At 43.9% G+C, this 22,958-nt stretch overlaps 1 protein-coding gene across 6 annotated transcripts in view, besides 2 other annotated features; it reads right to left on the bottom strand.

Moving 5' to 3' along the window:
- The window catches only part of USP13 (ubiquitin specific peptidase 13), a 136,362-nt gene that overhangs the window by 59,588 nt on the left and 53,816 nt on the right, over positions 1-22,958 (bottom strand). For all 6 annotated transcript variants that reach the window (NM_003940.3, XM_011513269.2, XM_017007426.2 and 3 more), the window contains 4 exons: positions 22,738-22,880; positions 20,857-21,041; positions 9,780-9,874; positions 8,225-8,412 (listed from right to left, as the gene is read on the bottom strand). In NM_003940.3, the coding sequence (NP_003931.2) occupies positions 8,225-8,412; positions 9,780-9,874; positions 20,857-21,041; positions 22,738-22,880 (611 nt within the window). The remainder of the gene's footprint in view (positions 1-8,224; positions 8,413-9,779; positions 9,875-20,856; positions 21,042-22,737; positions 22,881-22,958) is intronic.
- Positions 397-975: an enhancer, noted in NCBI's record as "H3K27ac-H3K4me1 hESC enhancer chr3:179446627-179447205 (GRCh37/hg19 assembly coordinates)". NCBI's record gives its function as "activates a minimal SCP1, AML or CMV promoter by ChIP-STARR-seq in primed H9 embryonic stem cells {active_cell/tissue: H9 hESC(primed)}" and the evidence as "EXISTENCE:reporter gene assay evidence [ECO:0000049][PMID:30033119]".
- Positions 976-1,555: an enhancer, noted in NCBI's record as "H3K27ac-H3K4me1 hESC enhancer chr3:179446047-179446626 (GRCh37/hg19 assembly coordinates)". NCBI's record gives its function as "activates a minimal SCP1, AML or CMV promoter by ChIP-STARR-seq in primed H9 embryonic stem cells {active_cell/tissue: H9 hESC(primed)}" and the evidence as "EXISTENCE:reporter gene assay evidence [ECO:0000049][PMID:30033119]".

Below are 22,958 nucleotides of genomic sequence, written 5' to 3'. Positions count from 1 at the left end.
AAGCCATCACAATAATCACCACCTCGATGACAGTGGTACAGAGGCCAGGTGCTGTGGCTCATACCTGTAATCCCAGCACTTTGGAAGGCTGAGGCGGGTGGATCATCGGAGGTCAGGAGTTCAAGACCAGCCTAGCTAACACAGCAAAACCCCATCTCTACTAAAAATGCAAAAAATAGCCAGGTGCAGTGGCACGTGCCTGGAATCCCAGCTACTTGGGAGGCTGAGGCAGGAGAATTACTTGAACCCTGGAGGTGGAGGTTGCAGTGAGCCAAGATCATGCCACCAGACTCCAGCCTGGATGACAGAGCAAGACTCTGTCTCAAAAAAAAATAAATAAATAAAGACAACAGTACAGTTAGGGACAAGACTCGACTTAACCAAAACATCATCAGGCTCCTCTGAAGCCTCTGCTTGACTGGGCCCGTCCTTGGGCTTCCCTCTCTGTCCTTGTAGATCCAGTTTAAGTAAGCATCCTGCTAAGTCAGTTTAGTGAAAATCACCCATCCTTGCTGTCTGACCAGCCTGGCCTGCCTTCAGCAGTAATCCCATTAAGTCTGGGTAGCCAGAAACAGCTAATCCTTGACGTTTCTTCTTTGTGATTTTCCATCCCCTGGCCCCACCCAACTCCTTGTTTATAAATCCCCACTTGACCTTGTTGGAATCAGAGTTGAGTCCAATGTCTCCCCCATTGCCAGGCCCTGTTGCAGTGCTCCTATACCTATGGCCATGGACCCCCTTGAATAAAGTCTGCCTTATCATCTTTAACAAGTGTTTGGGTAATTTTTCTCTTTAACATTAAAAATTGGCTCTCCCTCTCCCTCTCCCTCTTCCTCTCCGTCTCCCCACGGTCTCCCTCTCCCTCTCTCCACGGTCTCCCTCTGATGCCGAGCTGAAGCTGGACGGTACTGCTGCCTGATTCTCCTGCCTCAGCCTGCCGACTGCCTGCGATTGTAGGCGCGCGCCGCCACGCCTGACTGGTTCTCGTATTTTTTTGGTGGAGACGGGGTTTCGCTGTGTTGGCCCGGCCGGTCTCCAGCCCCTAACCGCGAGTGATCCGCCAGCCTCGGCCTCCCGAGGTGCCGGGATTGCAGACGGAGTCTCCTTCACTCAGTGCTCAATGGTGCCCAGGCTGGAGTGCAGTGGCGTGATCTCGGCTCGCTACAACATCCACCTCTCAGCAGCCTGCCTTGGCCTCCCAAAGTGCTGAGATTGCAGCCTCTGCCCGGCCGCCACCCCGTCTGGGAAGTGAGGAGTGTCTCTGCCTGGCCGCCCATCGTCTGGGATGTGAGGAGCCCCTCTGCCTGGCTGCCCAGTCTGGAAAGTGAGGAGCGTCTCTGCCCGGCCGCCATCCCATCTAGGAAGTGAGGAGCGCCTCTTCCCGGCCGCCATCACATCTGGGAAGTGAGGAGCGTCTCTGCCCGGCCGCCCATCGTCTGAGATGTGGGGAGCACCTCTGCCCTGCCGCCCCGTCCGGGATGTGAGGAGCGTCTCTGCCCGGCCGCCCCGTCTGAGAAGTGAGGAGACCCTCCGCCCGGCAACTGCCCCGTCTGGGAAGTGAGGAGCGTCTCTGCCCGGCAGCCACCTCGTCTGGCAGGGAGGTGGGGGGGTCAGCCCCCCGCCAGGCCAGCCGCCCCGTCCGGGAGGTGAGGGGCGCCTCTGCCCGGCCGCCCCTACTGGGAAGTGAGGAGCCCCTCTGCCCGGCCAGCTGCCCCGTCCGGGAGGGAGGTGGGGGGGTCAGCCCCCCGCCCGGCCAGCCGCCCCGTCCGGGAGGGAGGTGGTGGGGATCAGCCCCCCACCTGGCCAGCCGCCCCGTCTGGGAGGGAGGTGGGGGGGTCAGCCCCCCGCCCAGCCAGCCGCCTCGTCCGAGAGGGAGGTGGGGGGGTCAGCCCCCCACCTGGCCAGCCGCCCCGTCCGGGAGGTGAGGGGCGCCTCTGCCCGGCCGCCCCTACTGGGAAGTGAGGAGCCCCTCTGCCCGGCCAGCCGCCCCGTCCGGGAGGGAGGTGGGGGGGGGGTCAGCCCCCTGCCCAGCCAGCCGCCCCGTCCGGGAGGTGAGGGGCGCCTCTGCCCGGCCGCCCCTACTGGGAAGTGAGGAGCCCCTCTGCCTGGCACCACCCCGTCTGGGAGGTGTACCCAACAGCTCATTGAGAACGGGCCATGATGACAATGGCGGTTTTGTGGAATAGAAAGGGGGGAAGGGTGGGGAAAAGATTGAGAAATCGGATGGTTGCCGTGTCTGTGTAGAAAGAGGTAGACGTGGGAGACTTTTCATTTTGTTCTGTACTAAGAAAAATTCTTCTGCCTTGGGAACCTGTTGATCTGTGACCTTACCCCCAACCCTGTGCTATCTGAAACATGTGCTGTGTCCACTCAGGGTTAAATGGATTAAGGGCGGTGCAAGATGTGCTTTGTTAAACAGATGCTTGAAGGCAGCATGCTCCTTAAGAGTCATCACCACTCCCTAATCTCAAGTACCCAGGGACACAAACACTGCAGAAGGCCGCAGGGTCCTCTGCCTAGGAAAACCAGAGACTTTTGTTCACTTGTTTATCTGCTGACCTTCCCTCCACTATTGTCCTGTGACCCTGCCAAATCCCCCTCTGCGAGAAACACCCAAGAATGATCAATTAAAAAAAAAAAAAAAAAAAAACATTAAAAATTGTTCCAATAATCTCAAAATGAATAATAATGGTAACAGCAGTGACAGCTACCGTTTTCTGGAGGGCTTCCTATATTAGCCTGTTGAGTTTTCATTGCAACCGTATGAGGAAGAGATTGTTGTTATCATTATCCTCATTTGAGAGGTGAGAAATTGGGATGCAAATTCATTAGGTAGCTTCAAAAGTCTCCAAGCCACCTGTAATCCCAGTACTTTTGGAAGCCGAGGGGCGAAGATTGCTTGAACCCAAGAGTTGAGACCAGCCTGGACAACAAAATAAGACCCTATCTCTACAAAAAAAAATTAAAAATTAGCTGGGTGCAGTGGTACATACCTATAATTGCAGCTACTCGAGAGGCTAAGGTGGGAGGATTGCCTGAGCCCAGGAGGTCAAGGCTGCAGTGAGCCGTGATTGTACCACTGCACTTCAGCCTGGATGACACAGCAAGACCCTATCTCAAAAAAAAAAAAAGCCTACCAGGGAGGGAGTAATGAGGCCCAGAATGGACCCATGCAGCCAGGCACCAGGCCAAGTTCGGAACCACTCTGCTGGCTGTGTCTGCCCATCCACTGCCCCTGGAGCACTCTATAATCCCTCCTGGCAAGCTTATCCTAACAGAGCAAAGCCAGCTTTAACACTGATCTCCAATCATAATGCACAATCACTCCTTTCACTTCTTAAATTCACTTCCTATTTCACACCCTCTACTTTGTGTTGTTCTTTCCCTGTTGTCTTTGACTCTCGCCTGAAAGCTCTAGGAAGAAGAATCCAAAAGCAGATCCCTTTCTCCAGCCCTTCATGTGCCCACTCTGCCCACTTCTCTGACCTCATCTGCCACTGTGTTCCCCCAGCCCACAACATCCCCACTTGTCCCTCTTGCTGCCCCAGGGCATGACAGACTTGCTCATGTCTCAAGGTCATGCCTTCTGCTGTCTTTTTCCTGGGATGCTGCCTCACAGATCCTTGCTTGGCAGCTCCTTCTCAAGCCTGTTGACAAGTCGCCTCCCGAGACCCTCAGATAAAACAAGAGGGGCCGCCCCCACCCTTCCTCACTCCCTACCATCTGCTTCTGACTGACTTTCTTCTTAGCATGCATCACTATTTGCAGTTTTATAATTTACTTGTGATATGGTTTGGCTGTGTCCCCACCCAAATCTCATCTTGAATTGTAGCTCCCATAATTCCCATGTGTGGTGGGAGGGACCCTGTGGGAGGTAACTGAATCATGGAGGAGGTCTTTCCATCCTGTTCTCGTGAGAGTGAATCAGTCTTTATTAGCAGCATGAGAACAGACTAATACATCTTGTTTAGTATCTGTCTTTCCAGAGATTACATACTAGAATGTCATCTCATGAAGGCAGCAACTTTATCTAAATCACTGCATCTCCAGCACAAGAACAGCATCTGACATGTAAAAGACACTCAATAAATATTTGTTCAATGAATACATTTATGTCACACAATCACACGATTAACTTCCATAACTGAGTACCAATAACCAAACAGAAAAAGCATTTTTGCAATGAAACCCTAGCAGAGAACCATGATACACTATTACTTGGCAATGACTTCTAATTGGATTCCCTAACTACTAGAAACTTCTAGGCACCTGCTGTCCACAGACTCAGAAGTTGTAGCTCAGATTATGTACCTAGAGGAAAATTAACAGAGCATGCTTCTTTGGGCCAGTCCCATTCAAAGGACAAACAAGACATAAACCAAACTTCAGAGTTAAACTATTTAGATGCAGGGACTATACTGAAGAATTCCTAACAATATATAACATGATGAACTCAGGAGCTCTCTTATGATCCAGTTTTAATCACATCTCAAAACTTGACAAGACAAAAAAAAACTCACTGGAAAGATGAACACTAATGAATAGGCTTATGCTTTAAGGCAAGATAGATAGAAGAGTAAAGAGAATAAATTTTATTTTTTCAAGACAGCGTCTCACTCCCTCGCCCAGGATGGAGTACAGTGGCACAATCTGGGCTCACTGCAACCTCTGCCTCCCAACTTCAAGCAATTCTCCTGCCTCAGCCTCCCGAGTATCTGGTGTCACAGGCACGCACCACCACGCCTGGCTAATTTTTTAGTAGAGTGGGGTTTTGCCATGTTGGCCAGGCTGGTCTCAAACTCCTGACCTCAAGTGATCTGCCCACCTCAGACTCCCAAAGTGCTGGGATTACAGGCATGAGCCACCATGCCCAGCCAAAAATAAATCTTTCATGTCAGAAAAGTTCACTTTGCTGGTACCTGAGGTCAGGGAGAAAAAGAGAGAAGTCCATTTTGCTATCAATGTATATCCCTTTTCTAACTGATGAAGGAAATCTTCCATTGTAACAAAATTAAATTAAAATGCAGAAGAAACGCTAGATAATTTTCATAGATGTTATACCTCCTGTTTGTAATCTAGCAATTCTTAAAAAGATGTAGTTTTGCTATCTAGCAATCTACCTTGGTTGTCATTCCATTTGTATACCAGTTTATTTAGATTTAATCCTCAATAAAAATTATTTTGAAATGTAAACTAGGTTCAAATGGCAGACAGGGTACCAAGGAATCAGGCCAAGTTCCCTAATTATGCTACGGCTGTTCATAAGCCAGTTAATCTTTCTGAGTCATTTTTCTTTTTTTCTTTCCTTTCTTTAATTTTCTTATTATTATTTCTTTCTTTTTTTTTTTTTTTTCTTGAGACAGAGTCTCACTTGGTTGCCCAGGCTGGAGTGCAGTAGAGCAATCTCGGCTCACTGCAACCTCTGCCTCCTGGGCTCAAGCAATTCTCCTGCCTCAGCCTCCTGAGTAGCTGGGATTATAGGCACACACCACCATGCCCGGCTAATTTGTGTATTTTTAGTACAGACGGGGTTTCACCATGTTGGCCAGGCTGGTCTCAAACCCCTGATCTCAGGTGATCTGTCCACCTCGGCCTCCCAAAGTGCTAGGATTACAGGCGTGAGCCACTGCACCCGGCCTTCTTATTATTTTTTTAAAGACAGGATCTCACTCTGTTGCCCAGCCTGAGTACGGTGGCACAACCACAGCTTACTGCAACCTCAGACTCCTGGGATCAAGCAATCCTCCCACCTCAGCCTCCCGAGTAGCTGGGACTACAGGTGTGCACCACCACGCCCGGCTATTTTTTTTTTTTTTAAATTTTTGTAGGGATGGGATCTAACTTTGCTGCTTAGGCTGGCCTCAAACTCCTGGTTTCAAGTAATCCTCCTGCCTCAGCCTCCCAAAGTACTGGGTTTACAGGTATGAGCCACCATGCCAGGCCCTGAGTCACTTTTTCTACTTTCAAAATGAAGACACTGCTCCTGAATCTAACTCCACTGAGTTAGACCTGCTGGTGAAAAAGAAGTGAGAAGAACAAGTATTTCAATCCAGTGATATTTGGTCAAAGGGTGAAAAGACTGAAGACATGTATGAATAGTTCATTGCTCATGTTCTCATATATCTAGTAAATGTTTAGAAAATAGAATGAGAATGTAAAATATTAGTAATATAAAATTCTAAGACTCTTGAAACAAGACTAGGGAGAGATTCAAATACTAAATTCTCAAAAACATAAAGCCTGTCTTCACTCCTCCTGCACATGCATCAGGATGTGTGTCCCTTCTTCATAGGCTCCTCTCTGACCACCTCCCTCCTTTCTCCATCATGGAATGTACCATGTTTATAAGCATGCAGTTGTTACTATGATTATTTTCTTAATGCCTGTATCTCCTGCTTACTTCATGCCTGGGGGTGAGGACCATGTCCTTGTGTTCACCACTGACCCCCACACACTCAGCACACTGCTTAGCAGAAAAGAACTCACTCTCTATTGGCTGGATGAAAAAATGAAAAATAGACATAGAAAATGCACCATAAATTTTCAAAGCCAGAAAACAGCAAGAAGAGGTATGTCTCCAAACACCAAGGGAGGAAAGAGAAGGGTATGTGACATACTTTTGATGAACCGCCGTTAAAGCCATTAGGATTTCAACTCCACATGGGTAAAACATGACCTGGACTATTCCTGGCATGTCACCTGCCTGCCTCAGCACATATATGTCCTCTTCCGCACTTAAACTAAGGTGGAAACCTACCTCTGGAACACATTAGGATGATTCTCTACACGTAGGCAGTGGCTGCCTGAGAGTGTACCAGCCACAGCCCCTGGGCTCTATAGCTCCCTGTCCTCAGTACACCCAAGGAAGAAAACAGCCACAGACATAGCTGCTGTCCCCCTCGGTGTAGGAGGAGGAAGGCAGTCTTGTACAAGCACAGTCAGGGAGCACCTAAATCAGTGCCTCTCAAATTATCTGCGGTAAAGGGTCAGTTTTTTTGTTTATTTCAACTCAGACAGATGATGCTTTTTAAAAATACAATTAGGATGGTTAATGGGTAAAAAAGTATAAGTAGAATGAACAAGATCTAGTATTTGATAGCACAACAGGGTGACTACAGTCAACAATAACTTGTCGTATATTTTAAAATAACTAAAAGAGTGAAATTGGAATATTCCTAATACAAAGAAATGACAAATGCTTGAGGTGATGAATACCCCAATTACCCCAATGTGATTATTACACATTGCGTACCTGTATCAGAATATCACATATACCCCATAAATATATACACCTGTTATGTACCCATAATAATTAAAAATAAGTTAAAAAATACAATTCCAAGAAATTATTAGAAAAATGAAATGCCACTTGTAAAACACAACAGCAACATCAAATTGTTACAATTTCCCAATGCTCACTCTCGATTTCCAAACTTATCTCATTGAAGGCCCACATCCAGCAGTATAAGGAGCTGCACTAGTCTATGAACCACACTGTAAGTAGCAAAAAATGAAAGCCCTAAATCCTTCAGGAAATTCCAGTCCCCCACAAGAGAGACACTAACCAGACCTACCACCGGATCTCTCCTAGCGCATCTATAGGAGGGAATTGGCAGATGTGCTGTGAAGATTAATGATTAATATATTCTTGGTACATAGGGTGATGGTCAAAAAGCAGAAACCATTACTAATAACAAACCCTTGTATGGTGTTTTTGAGTTTACGAAGCTCTTTTTTTTTTTTTTTTTGAGACAGATTCTCGCTCTGTTACCCAGGCTGGAGTGCAGTGGCATGATCTTGGCTCACTGCAACCTCTGCCTCCTGAGTTCAAGTGATCCTGCCTCAGCCTCCTGAGTAGCTGGAATTACAGGCGTGCACCACCACCCCTGGCTAATTTTTGTATTTTTAGTAGAGACGGGTTTCGTCATGTTGGTCAGGCTGGTCTTGAACTCCTGACCTCGTGATCTGCCCGCCTCGGCCTCCCAAAGTGCTGAGATTACAGGCGTTAGACACTGCGCCCGGCCACAAAGCTCTTCTTATCTCACCTGATCCCCATAATACTTGACAAGTGTTCTCACCCAGTCTCTGTAGAAGGCAGGCCAGAGAAAAGGTGGCAAAATGTCCTGAAGCAATAAAGATGGGCTTCGCAGCGCACACTGAGTGGACTGGACCTAGATGGGGCAGGGAGGTGCCGCGTGCCCTGGTCTGCATGGAAGGCACTTACGCTCTCTGGAATTCTGGGATGCTGAAGATGGCCTGCATGACAGAGCTGAGATAGCAGCTGTTGCCCAGGTTCTTCAGACCCGTGTAGCCAGGACCATACATTGGCTTCAGTTTCGTGCCCGACTCCTGGATCACTTCCCACTCACTGACCCTCAGCTTGATGTCATTGTCCTGGAGCCCATTCTCTGTCTGAGACAAAGTCATCGAAGAAAAACAACTTTAAATGTGATTCCCATTCAAAGGTCATGTCCCGTTAATTATTTCTAACAGCATAGGATGTTTCTGCCATTTTTTTCCCCAATTACATAGAGAAATAAACAATGCAAATAAAAAAGACTGAGAGACGGTGATGGTGGCACAACAAAGTGAATGTACATAATGCCAGAGAACTGCACGCTTAAAAACAGTTAAAATGGTAGCTTTTATATTATATATATTGTACCACAATTTTTAAAACACACATGAAAAAGATTTTAAAGAGAGGCCGGGCGCAGCGGTTCACACCTGTAATCCCAACACTTTGGGAGGCTGAGGTGGGCAGATCACCTGAAGTCAGGAGTTCGAGACCCACCTGAGCAACATAGCAAAACCCCGTCTCTACTAAAAATACAAAAATTAGCTGGGTGTGGTGGCACATGCCTTTAGTCCCAGCTACTCGGGAGGCTGAAGCAGGAGAACTGCTTGAACCCAGGAGGCGGAGGTTTCAGTGAGCTGAGATCGCGCCACTGCACTCCAGCCTGGGCAACAAGAGCGAAACTCCATCTCAAAAAAAAAAAAAAGATTTTAAAGAGAGAAAGATTGAAAGGGAAAGAGATAGGAGGAGGATGAAGAACAAATAGGAATCAAAAAAGAAGCAAGGAGACTAAATTCAAGGGAATATTCAATGCAACACAGCAAACAAAAAGGAGGGAGGTGTAAAGAAGAGCAGAAAAAACTAAACAAAAAAGTAAAAATGAGTGACAAAGAGGAGACAAAGAGAATAGGAACATGAAGAGAGGGAGGCGACCTGGAAGGAAAGGGCTAAAACGAAACGCACATTGAAATAGTTCCTTAAAGGAAAAATATTATATAGTCATGACATCAATTTGAAAACACAGTATTAAATGAAGCAGAGCTTCTCTATCAACAGTAATGTGTTGGTTTATTCGTTCTATCCCCTAGGAGCTTTGCTTCCCTCCCTGAAATTAATGAAAGTGATGTTGGTCACAGATAATTTTAAAGGTCATCTCCCTACACCATCTGCGTTTCGCGAACAAAGAATGATTCACACGACTGCCCATCAAAGGAGACTAATTTTGCAAGTAAACTCCAACTAAACCAAAAGAGTACTTGATGAGGTGCCATTTTTATTACAGCATAAAAAATCTAAGCTGGCAACCAAAAGAAAACATCTACTAATTAAATGCAAGAAGTAAATGCAACAATTAAAAGCTAAAACCTATAAAATGAAGATCCACGTTAGAGGAATTATATATTAAATAAATCAAGCAGTTCCCTTGCCGTCTCCCCACCCCTACCCCATGCAAGATGGAAACAGAAACAAAAGGAGACCTCACCCCATGCATATGAAGCATATCAATTCCAAAATGCGCTAAGTGCTTGGCCAAATGAGGATCCAAAACAGGTTCTTCTTCTTGAAAAGAATAAACATCTAGCGGATGAAGAGAAAATAAGCACTGCAATCAGTAATCAAGTCACTGAATATCCAACACATATTTTTTGAACTCCTACTGTACACCAGGCTTGGGCTATATCACTGAACAAAACGAAAACTTTCTAACATTCAACAAGAGGAAAGACGAATGATAAATGATAAATAATATGTAGGCATTTTTTGTAAATATACCTATATGTCATTCTTTTCACATTTTGGAAAGTTTTTTTTAAGTTTTCTAAAACAAGAAAAGCAACAAAAAAGAACAGTATCTAATAAGTATACAAGTATAAATGCCTAACACTTGATTTTTCTAACTAAAACCACAGTGGCATAACTCTGAGCTCAGGAAGAGGGATGGGCACAGGAGGAGGGGATGACGGCCATCCGCCACGGCAGGGGGGACCTCCGGGGGAACAGAGAGAACACACAGGCCCTCAGGGCAGCTTGTTCCATCTGAGAAAATGAATTTCTGCCCATGAAACCCTCTGTATTCTCAAACCTACCACTCACCGCCTCTACCTCCCACTTGCCCCCGACATCCCTTCTTTCCTACCTTCAGGTCCACATCTCACAGAACCAGCGAGAGATCTGTGAAGACTGTGTGGCGCTTCCCTAATGGCCCACCTCATAGTACACACAGAAAATGACCATATGTTTGGTATTCCAGGGATACTCAAGACTCCAGCCAGCCCTGCCCTGCCCCACTGCCCCAGGGCCTCTGGGATCCACATCCCAGCCATTTGAGAGACGCTAGTGTTGGTAAGCTCTGTGCTGAGGTGGGCTGCCTCTTTCCTCCGGATAATAATATCCCACCTGACAACATGAGGCTTTTGACTGAACCTGGCTTCTCAAAGTGGGGTGTATGGACTCAAAGCAGTAGCTTCACCTGGGAGCTCATTAGAAATGCAGAATCTTCTTTGGGAGGCCGAGGCAGGCGGATCACGAGACCAGGAGATCCAGATGATCCTGGCTAACATGGTGAAACCCGTCTCTATTAAAAATGCAAAAAATTAGCCGGGCGTGGTGGCGGGCGCCTGTAGTCCCAGCTACTCGGGAGGCTGAGGCAGGAGAATGGCGTGAACCCAGGAGGCGAAGCTTGCAGTGACCCAAGATCGTGCCACTGGCCTGGGCGACAGAGAGAGACTCTATCTCAAAAAAAAAAGAAAAGAAAAGAAATGCAGAATCTTGAGCCCCGCCTCAGGCCGACTGAATGAGAATCTGCATTTTTAACGAGATCTTCAGGTGCACAGTGAAGTTGGAGGACTGTTTGGTTTTCCAAAGCTATCCAATCCGCTGCCCTATCCATCCTCACACACAGTGTGGTGAAGAGGACAGAAGAGACATTTTCAAGCCCATCTTGCAGATAAGGAAAAGAAGCTCATAAAGGCCACAGGTGGCCCAGAACCCAGGTAGTCTAACTCCTGGCCCAATCTTCTTCCCTCTACAACAGAATATTTATGAAGGTATATCAGGACACCAGCGAGGTACATGGCTCACATCTGTAATCCCAGCACTCCGGGAGACCAAGGCAGGAGGATCACTTGAGGCCAGGAGTTTGAGGCTACAGTAAGCTATGATAATGTCACTGTACTCTAGCCTGGGTGACAGAGCAGGACCCTGTCTCCAAAAAACAGGAAAAAAAAAAAAGTTTCTAAAGAAGGAAAAAAAAGAAAAAAATGTATGTATCAGAACAGGATACCAACAGACTTGGTGAAGAACCAACCTAAGCCCTTAAAAGGAATGAAGACTCAAAACCCACAATTTCTTTGCTCTTATATTTGAAAAACAAAATCTGTAACAAGGAAAATGAATATGAAGATATCACTCTTAGGGACAGTATAAGACAGACTGTCCAAGGAGCTCCCTACTCCTTGGAACATCACCAGGAGGAAAAAAAGTAATGCATAGAAGCTATGTGACCTTCTGTCCCATACCCAGATATATGGAGACTCGCTGCTCCCCAAAGAAATTCAGTCTATTATTAATAAGTTAAACATTGTGTAGTTGTCTTTTCTATTCCTCTTCCCCCAGAGGCCCATGATAACTGTGGATAGCAACCCTCATTTATATTTTTTAAATATAATTCAGCATTCTCAAAAGCGAAACAAAAGACAAAATCTCAGCCCAATTAAGAAACATTTCCAAAAGTTTAAATATTAATAAAATAAGCAAAAACCTTTGAACTAATAAATTGAAACAAATACATCAACAGTATTTTTAATCTATGACAAGGGATCAAAAAATTCCACTTAAATACTAGCTCAAGGTGAAAATGGCACTCCCTAGGCACTTTAGTTGTTATTAATTAGGGAGATAGTTTGAAGACTTAAGACTTTAAGCCTCTAATGATCAGGGCTGTATTAGAAAATAATAAAACTGCCAGAATTGAACCACTGGCATTGGCCTAGGATTTTGAAATAAGTGAAAACCACACAGCCCTCCACAGTTCGTAACCCATTAGGCTCTTGCCACATTGAGAAAATCATATTTCATACCTCCAGCCATTAACTGCTCCAAAAATATGACATGATTTGGTCAAATGCTATAGTTATTTCTCATCCCCAAGACAAAAAGTGTTTAGTGAGTAACATACAAGAAACCTGAAAATGAACTGTGATCTTCAAACTTGGCAATCAGGAAGAATTTATAAATATGTAGTCAGAGAAAAAAAGTTTTCAGTGGCCTCAGTGGCTGAAAATGCTGTCTTGTATGTTTTTCACTGGGAAACTCATTTTATTCCCAACCTCAGCTTAGCAAAGTCAGGTCTTAGTGCAGAAACTATGGTAGTAAATAGGCAACTTTTGACAAGTATTATCCATCACGCTCCCCAGCTTGGCCTAAAACTTGAAGCCAAGAACCACAGTTAGGGAGTTCACAGAGGTATCCTCCCAGGAATAGCCCAAGCAGTGTTTCATGAGTAACTGCATTCATTTTAGAAGCAAACCAGTCATCCTTTCATTTCAAGTTAAATGACAAACTAAACCACAAGAGCATGAGGCAGCAATCTGCGGAAGAAAAAAGATTAAAAAAAAATTTTAGAACAAGAATATCCTTTTGTGACAAGCATGCTAGGAAACAGTATGTGCAGTAAGCTCAAATATTAATTAAGGAAAAGCTTAGAGAGCAGAGACAGAGATAGAGATGAACCAGAAGCAAGATTGAGAATCTGTAAGAACCCAGATCAAAATGGTAATAATAATTTGTAATCTCTGAATGAGAAGATGTCTTTTTTTCTCCTCTGTTTTTTCTAAATTTATTATATTTTGATGGAAAAAATGTTTTCTAAGTAATTCCCAGAGATTAAAACGATGCTATTGGACGGTATGCTATTAGGACTATGCTGTTAAGTCTAGCATGCCTGGCGCGGGTCATCCTTGTTCAACCACCAAGGTTAACTCACTCATTCATCGTATTCAGCAAATATTAACTAAATACCAAATACATGTATACCCTGAGGATATAATGTTAAATAAGATATGCAGAGTCCCTGCCCTCATAAGTTTAAAGTTTAATATTTCAAATAGTCTTAGAAGAAATGCTGGTTTGGTGTGAAGGGTCTCATGGTTTAGTCATGTGACTTTATGCCCTTATCCTAGGCCCCAGAAAATGGCAGAAGTCCAAATTCTCCCTCCAGATTCCCCTACAGGAAAGTAGAAGGGAGAGAGAGGTAAGGATGTACCTCAGCAAGTCCTTGTGTTAAAACTATGGAAGGCCGGGCACGGTGGCTCACACCTGTAATCCCAGCACTTTGGGAGGCCAAGGCAGGTGGATCACCTGAGGTCGGGAGTTCAAGACCAGCCTGACCAACATGAAGAAACCCCGTCTCTACTAAAAATACAGAATTAGCTTGGCGTGGTGGCACATGCCTGTAATCCCAGCTACTCGGGAGGCTGAGGCAGGAGAAACACTTGAACCTGGGAGGCGGAGGTTGCTGTGAGCCAAGATTACACCACTGCACTGCAGCCTGGGCAACAAAAGTGAAACTGCGTCTCAAAACAAAACAAAACAGAACAAAAACTAGGAAAGCCAGCTTTGGTGCCCTTCTCTCACAAATGGAGAGAAAAAGCAAAGCTCCTGGTCAAACACCAAGTAATAAATCGGAGAGGAGAAAATGAAGAGAGATTCTCCTCAGAGTCAGTGCAGATCTGTCCACCCAAACTGCATCTCTCCACCGGGAGTTCACATCTGTGTGCCTCTAAGCCATCTGCAACAGACAGGAAAAGAAGAAAAACAAGACAACTCCAGCAGCTACACTAAAAAAATAAACACAAGGCCGGGCACAGTGGCTCACGCATGTAATCTCAGCACTTTGGGAGGCAAAGACAGGCGGATCACAAGGTCAGGAGTTCGAGACCAGCCTGGCCAACATGGTGAAACCCCGTCTCTACTAAAAATACAAAAATTAGCTGGGCGTGGTTGTGCGTGCCTGTAATCCCAGCTACTTGGGAGGCTGAGGCAGGAGAATTGCTTGAACCCAGGAGGCGGAGGTTGCAGTGAGCTGAGATCACACCATTGCACTCCAGCCTGGGCCAGAAAGTGAGACTCCATCTCAAAAAAAAAAAAAAAGAAAGAAAAATAAACACAAATTAAATGAGGCCAGCATGTAGGATCTCTTTAAAGAGAGAATAGGTTATAATCCTAGGACTTTTAGAGGCTGAGGCAGGAGGATAGCTTGAGCCCAGGAGTTCAAGACCAGCCTGGGCAACATAGTGAGATTCTGTCTCAATTTAAAAAAATAGAGAGAGAGAACAGGACCAGGCATAGTGGCCCACATCTATAATCCCAGCACTTTGGGAGGCTAAGGCAGGAGGATCACTTGAGCCCAGGAGTTCAAGGCCAGCCTGGGCAACATAGTAAGACTCCATTTCTACAAAAAAAAATGGAAAAAAATTAGCCGAGTATGGAGTGTGGTGGCAAGCACCTGTGCTCCCAGTACTTGGGAGGCTGAGCTGGGAGGCTCACTTGAGCCCAGGAAGTTGAGGCTGCAGTAAGCCATGATTCCACCACTGCTCTCCAGCCTGGGCAACAGAGTGAGACCCTGCCTCAAACAAAAAAAAAAAAAAGAAAAAGGAAAAGAAAGAGAACCGCCAGGACAGACAAAACCTAGACTGTAGTCAGGAAAGGAAAACAGGTAAGAGTAAAAAAGATGTCAGTAAAGTAGAAAAAAGGTAAATCAGAGGAGCCAATATTCTCTGCCTTTTTTAAAATTTTTGAGACAGGGTCTCACTATGCTGCCCAGGCTGGTCTCAAACTCCTGGGCCCAAGCAATCCTCAAAACACAGCCTCCCAAATAGAAGCAGATTTTGTTGGTGTGTCTTCCTCCATTTGTTTGCTCCATAATATTTGCTGAGCACCTACTATGTGTGAGGCACACTACTAGATGCTAGAGATATAACAGTGCCCAAGAAATGTGGCCTTAGGCCCTGCCGTCCTGGGTGACCACCATTAAATAAACTGTTAACAGGGTCTTGTGGAAAGTACCATGACAGAGCAGCAGGAAGTACCACAGAGGCACACAGCAGGGGCCGAGGCCAGGCCAAAACTAACATGAAGTAGTCCGTGCCCTGATTCCAAACCCTGGGGCTGGGAGAAACTCAAGGGAGCTTATGCCCAGGTCGGGGGTAAAGATGACCAAAGAAGAAAGACCAGCTTGAGATGCTATGGAGCTGGTACAGCCAATAGAAGAGGCAATTTCACAGCTGCCTTGGGCATCTCTGGAAGACTCTCCTACAATCACCCAAGACACTAAAGCATCTTCTCGGGTAAACTAGTTTCTGTGATGGAAGAAAAACACACCCTATCCCGTCTCCGTCCTGCCCTACTCCCTTTCTACCAAGAACCTCATCCCTGCCTCGCCGAAACAATGCGTCCTCCCACAGAGGAAAGCTTTTTGTTTGTTTGTGTAGTGATCTGCTTCTTGGTTTGTTTGTTGCTGTACCCATGGGGACCCAGAGTAGAATTTCATGTGGGGCCCGTTCTTGCTATGCATGCCACCACTCTGGCCTGGACTGAGGGACCAGGGCTTCTTTGAAAAACTAAATCTAAGTTGAGACCTCAAGGATGAGTAGCAGTGTCTCATTAGACAAATATGTCCTTATTGGGGGAAAGGAAATCAGGATGATCAGATCACACTACCATTAAATATTTGAGTCCACAACCTTCTTGGATTCCACGTTCACTAAGCAATCTTCTAAATATAATTCAGCTTCCCACAGGGAAGGAATGTACTGGTCAAGCGGACATAAACATCCTACTTACTGGCAGTTGTGGCTCTCATTATGAACTAAAAAACAAATGCCCTGACTTTGAGACTTCGTCTCTTGTGAGTTGAACTGGACTGAGTGAGCCCAGCGAGTGTGGAAGAGCAGACCCTCAGCAGTGGAAACTTCACCGAGAGATGGCTACCCCCAGACAGAGGGCACCCTACCCCTGGGCCTCAATGTCCACAAGGCTCATCATTAGACATTTAAGGAAACTTTATGCATGTTTTTATTAATTTATGTGGCTTTTAAATAAACAATATGTTACAGCTTGCGATCTATTAAACAGATTTAAAGGAAACCAAAATAGAATGTATGCATCCCATAAACTAATATGAAATTACAATTAGACAGAAAATACTTTTATTAAAACTGACTCTGCACAATATTCGCAGGAATCAAAGCCTGATCTTTTTCAAAAAGTTAACATTATTTTAGCTAAATGAATTCACAACCCTTATCACAGTGTATACGATCTGCATTGCTGTTGCCAAATGTTTTATACTTTCTATGATTGAAACAGATGCATTCAAATACTGTCAATTATATGACAAGAAAAACCTTAAAAGTTATTTCTTCTTCACAAAAACAGTAACAACTATGGAAGACAATGGGTTAATATTCTTAATAATCAAAGAGTTCTTAAAAAACAATTTTTAAAAACCTAAACCTACAAAAACATTGGCCTAAGAAATTCACAAAAAAGAACTACAAATGGCCAAGAATACTAAGAAAAATATTCAGCCTCATCAGAAATGCAAATTAAAACAAGATACCAGATTAGCAAAGGTTTTTTTTTTAAGTCTTAATAAAAAAAGTTGTCAAGGATTTGTTGAAATGGGTACTGTCATACACTGTTGATGGGAATGTAAATTATTACAACTGTTTAAAAGAGAATCTTGGTAACTGAAAATTTTAAAGATTTAACTCTTTTTGTCACAGCAATTTATTCTAAAGAAATAACTAGACAAACACCCAAAGATTTGCATATATACAAGGATGTTCATCAGAATAGAAAAAAAATTGTAACCACTTACAGAATAGTGAAATGATTTATGAAACCATCATAAAATACTGAAGAATATTTAATAGCATAGAAAAACATAATGTTAAATAGAGAAAAATAAGGAATAAAACTTTATACAGTATGATCACATTTTTGTAAAAATGTGAGGTGGGTGTGCGTGTGTACATGTGTGTGTATGAACTGATTAACCCTTTAAAAAAAAGAGAAAAGACTAAAATGAAATACCTAAATTATTAACAGTGAGTAGTCTACAGGGTGGTATTACTAGTATTTTGTATTGATTTATCTAAACTTTTATCTCTGTTTTCTACATATGTTACACTGAATATCTGTTTGTTGCAAAATCAAGAGGAAAATATAAAACTTTCTTAAAACTGAAAGAAAAGAAACTAGAGTTACTCTATTTAGCAATTTTAAAATAAGTTTCCCATTAGAAAAGAAAGCTTCTAGAAAACGAAAGATACACAAAGAATAGAATTAATTCTTGGCCTTTATTATTAGCATACATTTAAATAGAATCTAATTACAATCACTCACTGAATAACAACATTTTGGTCAACAATGGACTGCATATATGGCAGTGGTCCCATAAGGTTATAATGGAGATGAAAAATTCCTGCCACCTAGTGATATAACCATCATGTTGTAGCATTACAGCATTACTCACATCACTCCCATGCTTGTAGTGATGCTGGTGTAAACAAACCTATTGCGCTGCCAGTCACATATAAGTATAGCACATATGGTTTTACGTACAGTACATAATTCTTGATAATAATAATAAATGACTATGTTACCATATTATGTGTTTACTATACTATACTTTTATTGTTATTTTACTTATATACGAAAAAAAGTTAACTGTACAACAGCCTCGGGCAGGTCCTTCAGAAGGCATTCCAGAACAAGGCATTGTTATCATAGGAGATGACAGGTCCATGCATGTTATTGTCCCAGAAGACTTTCCAGTGGGACAACCTGTGGAGGTGGAAGACAGTGATACCGATGATCCTGACCCTGTGTAGGCCTAGGCTAATGTGTGTGTTTGTGTCTTAGTTTTTAATAAAAACGTTTAAAAAGCAAAATAAAAATGGAAAAAAGCTTATAAAATAAAGATATTTTAAAAAAAAATTTGGCTGGGCATGGTGGCTCTCGCCTGTAATCCCAACACTTTGAGAGGCCGAGGTGGGTGGATCACCTGAGGTCAGGAGTTCAAGGCCAACCTGACCAACATGGTGAAACCCCATCTCTACTAAAAATACAAAAATTACCTGGGCGTGGTTGGGGCACCTCCCAGCTACTCAGGAGGCTGAGGCAGGAGAATCACTTGAATCTGGGAGGTGGAGGTTGCAGTGAGCTGAGATCACGCCACCGCACTCCAGCCTGGGTGACAGAGTGAGACTCTGTCTCAAAAAACAAAACAAAACAAAAAAAAGTGTACAGCTGTATAATGTATTTGTGTTTTAAGCTAAGTGTTACTACAAAAATGTCCAAAAGCTAAAAAAATTAAGTTCATAAAGTAAAAACATTACAGTAAGAGGTTAATTTATTATTGAAAAGGACAATGTTTTCATAAGTTTAGTGTAGCCAAGTGTATGGTGTTTATAGTCTGCAGTAGTGAACACTAAAGTCCGAGGCCTTCACACTCACTCCCCACTCACTCACTGACTCACCCAGAGCAACCTCCAGCCCTGCGTGTTCCATTCACGGTAAGTGCCCTGTACAGGTGACCATTTTCTATCTTTTATACCATGTTGTTGCTGTATCTTTTCTATGTTTAGATATGTCCAGATACACAAATACTTACCATTGTGTTACTACAGCAGTCAGTACAGTACTGTGCTGTATAGGTTTGTAGCTGAGGAGCAACAGGTTACATCATATAGCTTGGTTGTGAAGGAGGCTATGCCATCTAAGTTTGTCCAAGTATACTCTGCAATGTTCACACAACAAAGAAATCACCTAATGATGCATTCTCGGAACATATCACCATCCTTAAGTGACACAGGACTGTATTTAAATGCTTATATACCAGTTGGTTCAATTAACAAAAGTATTTGTGCCTAAGACATGTAAGATTTTGTATAGAACCCAAAGATGAGTAAGACATAGACTTGCTTTCATCCTAAAAAGTCAGAAGAACTAAGCTGCATATACGAACAGTTATAGTGTTGAACAGGCTGTTCTGAGAACTGAATTTCCAATAACTGGTCATATAAAGGCAACTACACAAGACAGCATAGAAAGTCGGAAAATCTGAATTATTGTCCCCTTGCAACTTTATCCGACAGAATTCCTACATTGCAAATCTTTCTACAATCCCCTAAAAGGACAAGGAGAAGGGCTTAGAGAAAAGTCATTCAACACCCACTCATTGAATAACAATCACCTGTAAACACCGCGCTGTAACCCTGAATCCAAACGCTTGTCTTGAATTTCCTTTCAATCCTGGAAGATTTAGGATAAGACCTGGGCTTGTGTATCTTTATTCACTTTGGGGGAAAATCTTTGGTACCAATAGCTAGGATTTCTCAGCTACTTGTCTTTAATGAGTTAAAATAATTCCACAAAACTTGAAAGCAGGAAAATTCTCTAAAATGTGAAACCAAAGAATCCTGACACGACCTAACTGCCAGTCCTCAGTTATGTATCAAATGAAAAACTACACCGGTTCAATGAAAAAACAATGATTGGTGAGCCATGTCCCCTTATTTAATGAAAAGATCTTGGGCAATTAACTCTGAAGCAGGCTAATTCCATCATCGAAAAATAACAGAGAAAAAAGAGAAAAGAGAGAAGACATGTTTTTATATTTCCCCTAAAAACATCTTACCTCACAGCAAAGAAGAAACAGAGACTAAATAAAGCCTGGGAAAATGGAGAAGACCAGCTGGGTATCAGTCCAGATCTGTGTTTAACAAATGTTTCCAATGATGATTAGATGATGGGTTCTCATAGCCACTGCTCAATATTTAAGTTTCTCATTACTGATCCTGATATTATTGCCTTTTTCCCTCGCAAAATGGTAGAAGGTATTAACTGTACAAACATGGCCAAAAGCTAATGTTTCAAAGCACACCATGTGAGGACAAAAAGAAACAGAACCAACTCTGAAGCTGACAGTGCAAGAAGGAAACAATTCTAATCCCCCGGAGAATGTGAACACCATCACTGCCAGGTGATTTCAGGGACTCTTTTAATGCACAGTATCCTTTAAAACTCATATTCTCCATAATTAATCCATTTGTTCCTAAAATGATACTTAATCCCTGTAATGGATTCCAGGGCTTCCTCCTGCTGTTCTAACAGTAGACTTGATTATGCACACTCACTTCACAAATCCTGTTTCCTGCTCTGTCCTCCTTAGCCAAGAGATACACAGAAGGATAATAACAACAGCAGCAACTTGTATTAGGACCTTACAGCGTGCACTGAGCTAAATGCTTTATGCACACTAACAAACACAGGAAAGAGGTATCATCATCGTTATCCTCAAGATGAGGATTCTAAAGCTTAGGGAGATTAGAAAACTTGCCCAAGACCTCAAAACTAATAAGAGGCAGAATTAGAATTCAAACCTGGGCTGTCTGCATCCAGAGCCTGCACCTTCCAACCACCTGGATTCAGGGATTGGTTAAATCTAAGAGGAAGCCACTGCATGTTCCCAAAGTCGGTAAAGGCGCACTCACCTGCCCCGTCAGGAGTGATGGTTCCCAGTTTCACGGCTAGTGGGTAGCCCATGTCTCTGTAATGCTCCAGCGCATGCCCGTTGCCCCCAGAGCTGTCAAAGAACCACTTTCCACACAGGACAGAGCCGTCAGTCAGATTCAACCAGAGGTTTTCTCGCAGGTCGCATCTGGCACACTTCCAACCACTGGAAAGCCATTGGAGAGTAGTCAGAACAGCCAGGGCATAATTTTAAAACTTAACATCTAAGAAGACAGAGGGTTTCAAGTAGGCAGGTCACAACAAAGGCTCAGTGGAATAACAGAGACTGATGCTTCCCCATTTTCTCCCCTCAAGACATTGTTGGCCGGGCGTGGTGGTTCACGCCTGTAACCCCAGCACTTTGGGAGGCCGAGGCGGGCACATCAACTGAGGTCAGGAGTTCAAGACCAGCCTGGCCAACATGGCGAAACCCCCGTCTCTATTAAAAATACAATGATTAGCCAGGTGTGGTGGTGGGCACCTGTAATCCCAAATCCCAGCTACTCGGGAGGCTAAGGCAGGGAGAACTGCTTGAACCCGAGAGGCGGAGGTTGCAGTGGGCCGAGATTGTGCCACTGCACTCCAGCCTGGGTGACAGAGCAAGACTCTGTCTCAAAAAAAAAAAAAAAATTATTGTTCCTCTCCCAGAGCAGCAGGATCACTCAGCACCCTGCCTGCCTCCCAGATGTGGACTAGCCCCTCCCAGCATCTCCAAGTGGCTTTTTTACTTTCGAAAACTGACACAAAACTTCAGGCTAGGAGAGGAGTTCATTTCCTTAAAACTCCTCTATGAGGGACAATGGAGCTTGAACAAGTTTAAAATATTAAGAATCCTGTGTGTATAAATGACTAAAGTTCTAAAGCATTAATCACATACAGTAAAGCTAGTTTATACAAATCCGACTACACTGCAAATCTAAATTAATTAGAAAGGAGACCAACTTGACTAAATGCTAAACGTCAACTATATGCCAAGTACCTTACAGAAGTCTCATTTAATTCTAATAAACACCTTTCAGCATCAGTATTACCATCTCTATTTTTACAAACGGAGAAATGGAGGTCCAGAAGTAACTCTCGTTTCCAAAGACCACACAGAAGGTGAATGCCATGCAACTGTCAGGATTCAACCAAATCAGACACATTCCTAATCCATCTGCCTATCCGCCAACACCTGCCTCTGTAAACACACCAGCACCTAATAAGAGGAGATATGAATGGAGCCCAAAGAGTATTCCAGCCAAAATGTGACAACCAAAGACTTGTAAGTTGGACTGCCCTAAAACAAGACTCTGAGACAAAAAAGTGAAGGTAAATGGCTTGTCCGGGAGGTGATCCCAGGGAAGTGGGGAAGAAAGACAAGAAAGGGTAGGAAGCTGGTACAGGATATGTCAGTGAGCAAATGTACACTGTGGGCGACTGGGGCTCAGGCCACATGGGGAATTGCAAGAGACAGATATCCCACCTGCAGGGGCAGAAAACTGGGGTATTAATCCACCCATGCCACAGTCACCGGTTTAGGGCTGCTCCAGGAGGAGGGAGGGAGCTTCACTCTGATGTTTCTGACTGTCCCGTGCACTGGCATAACTGGCTTCAGCAAGCAGAAAAAGCTCTCATGCAAAGCGTTGCAAGTGCTTGCAACTGGCAGCTTCAGGGCAGGGAAGGGCTTAGGGGTATGGACTGGGCACATTCAGCATCTACTACAAAGCTACAGACAATTTTAGAGAAGTTTTATATTTACTTTTAATAAAAGGCATCTGGTAAGAAAAAATATAACTTCCTATTCAAAAAAGAAGTAGAAAACAAATATTCCTTTGGACAGTTTTAGGGAGTAAAGTTCCATTCTGCTATCTGACTCTCACCTTGGAGGAATCCTGACTCCATTGTCCAGCTGGGTGAGGTTGTTGGCATATTTAGATACTGGCAATTCATTTTCCCACGTGTCTGGGTCCTGCTTTCTGTATGGAGATTTTGAGCTGAGAACTGCATCACAAGCAATTGTTACCTATAAGACAAACCCAGATGTAATATATAAAAACAGTTTGAGAAAATAACGATTTGCTAGTGAATAGCAAATTCACTA

Source organism: Homo sapiens, chromosome 3 (assembly GCF_000001405.40).
Source record: "Homo sapiens chromosome 3, GRCh38.p14 Primary Assembly".
Classification (NCBI taxonomy): Eukaryota; Metazoa; Chordata; class Mammalia; order Primates; family Hominidae; genus Homo; species Homo sapiens.
This window is presented reverse-complemented; position numbering and strand designations above follow the sequence as displayed.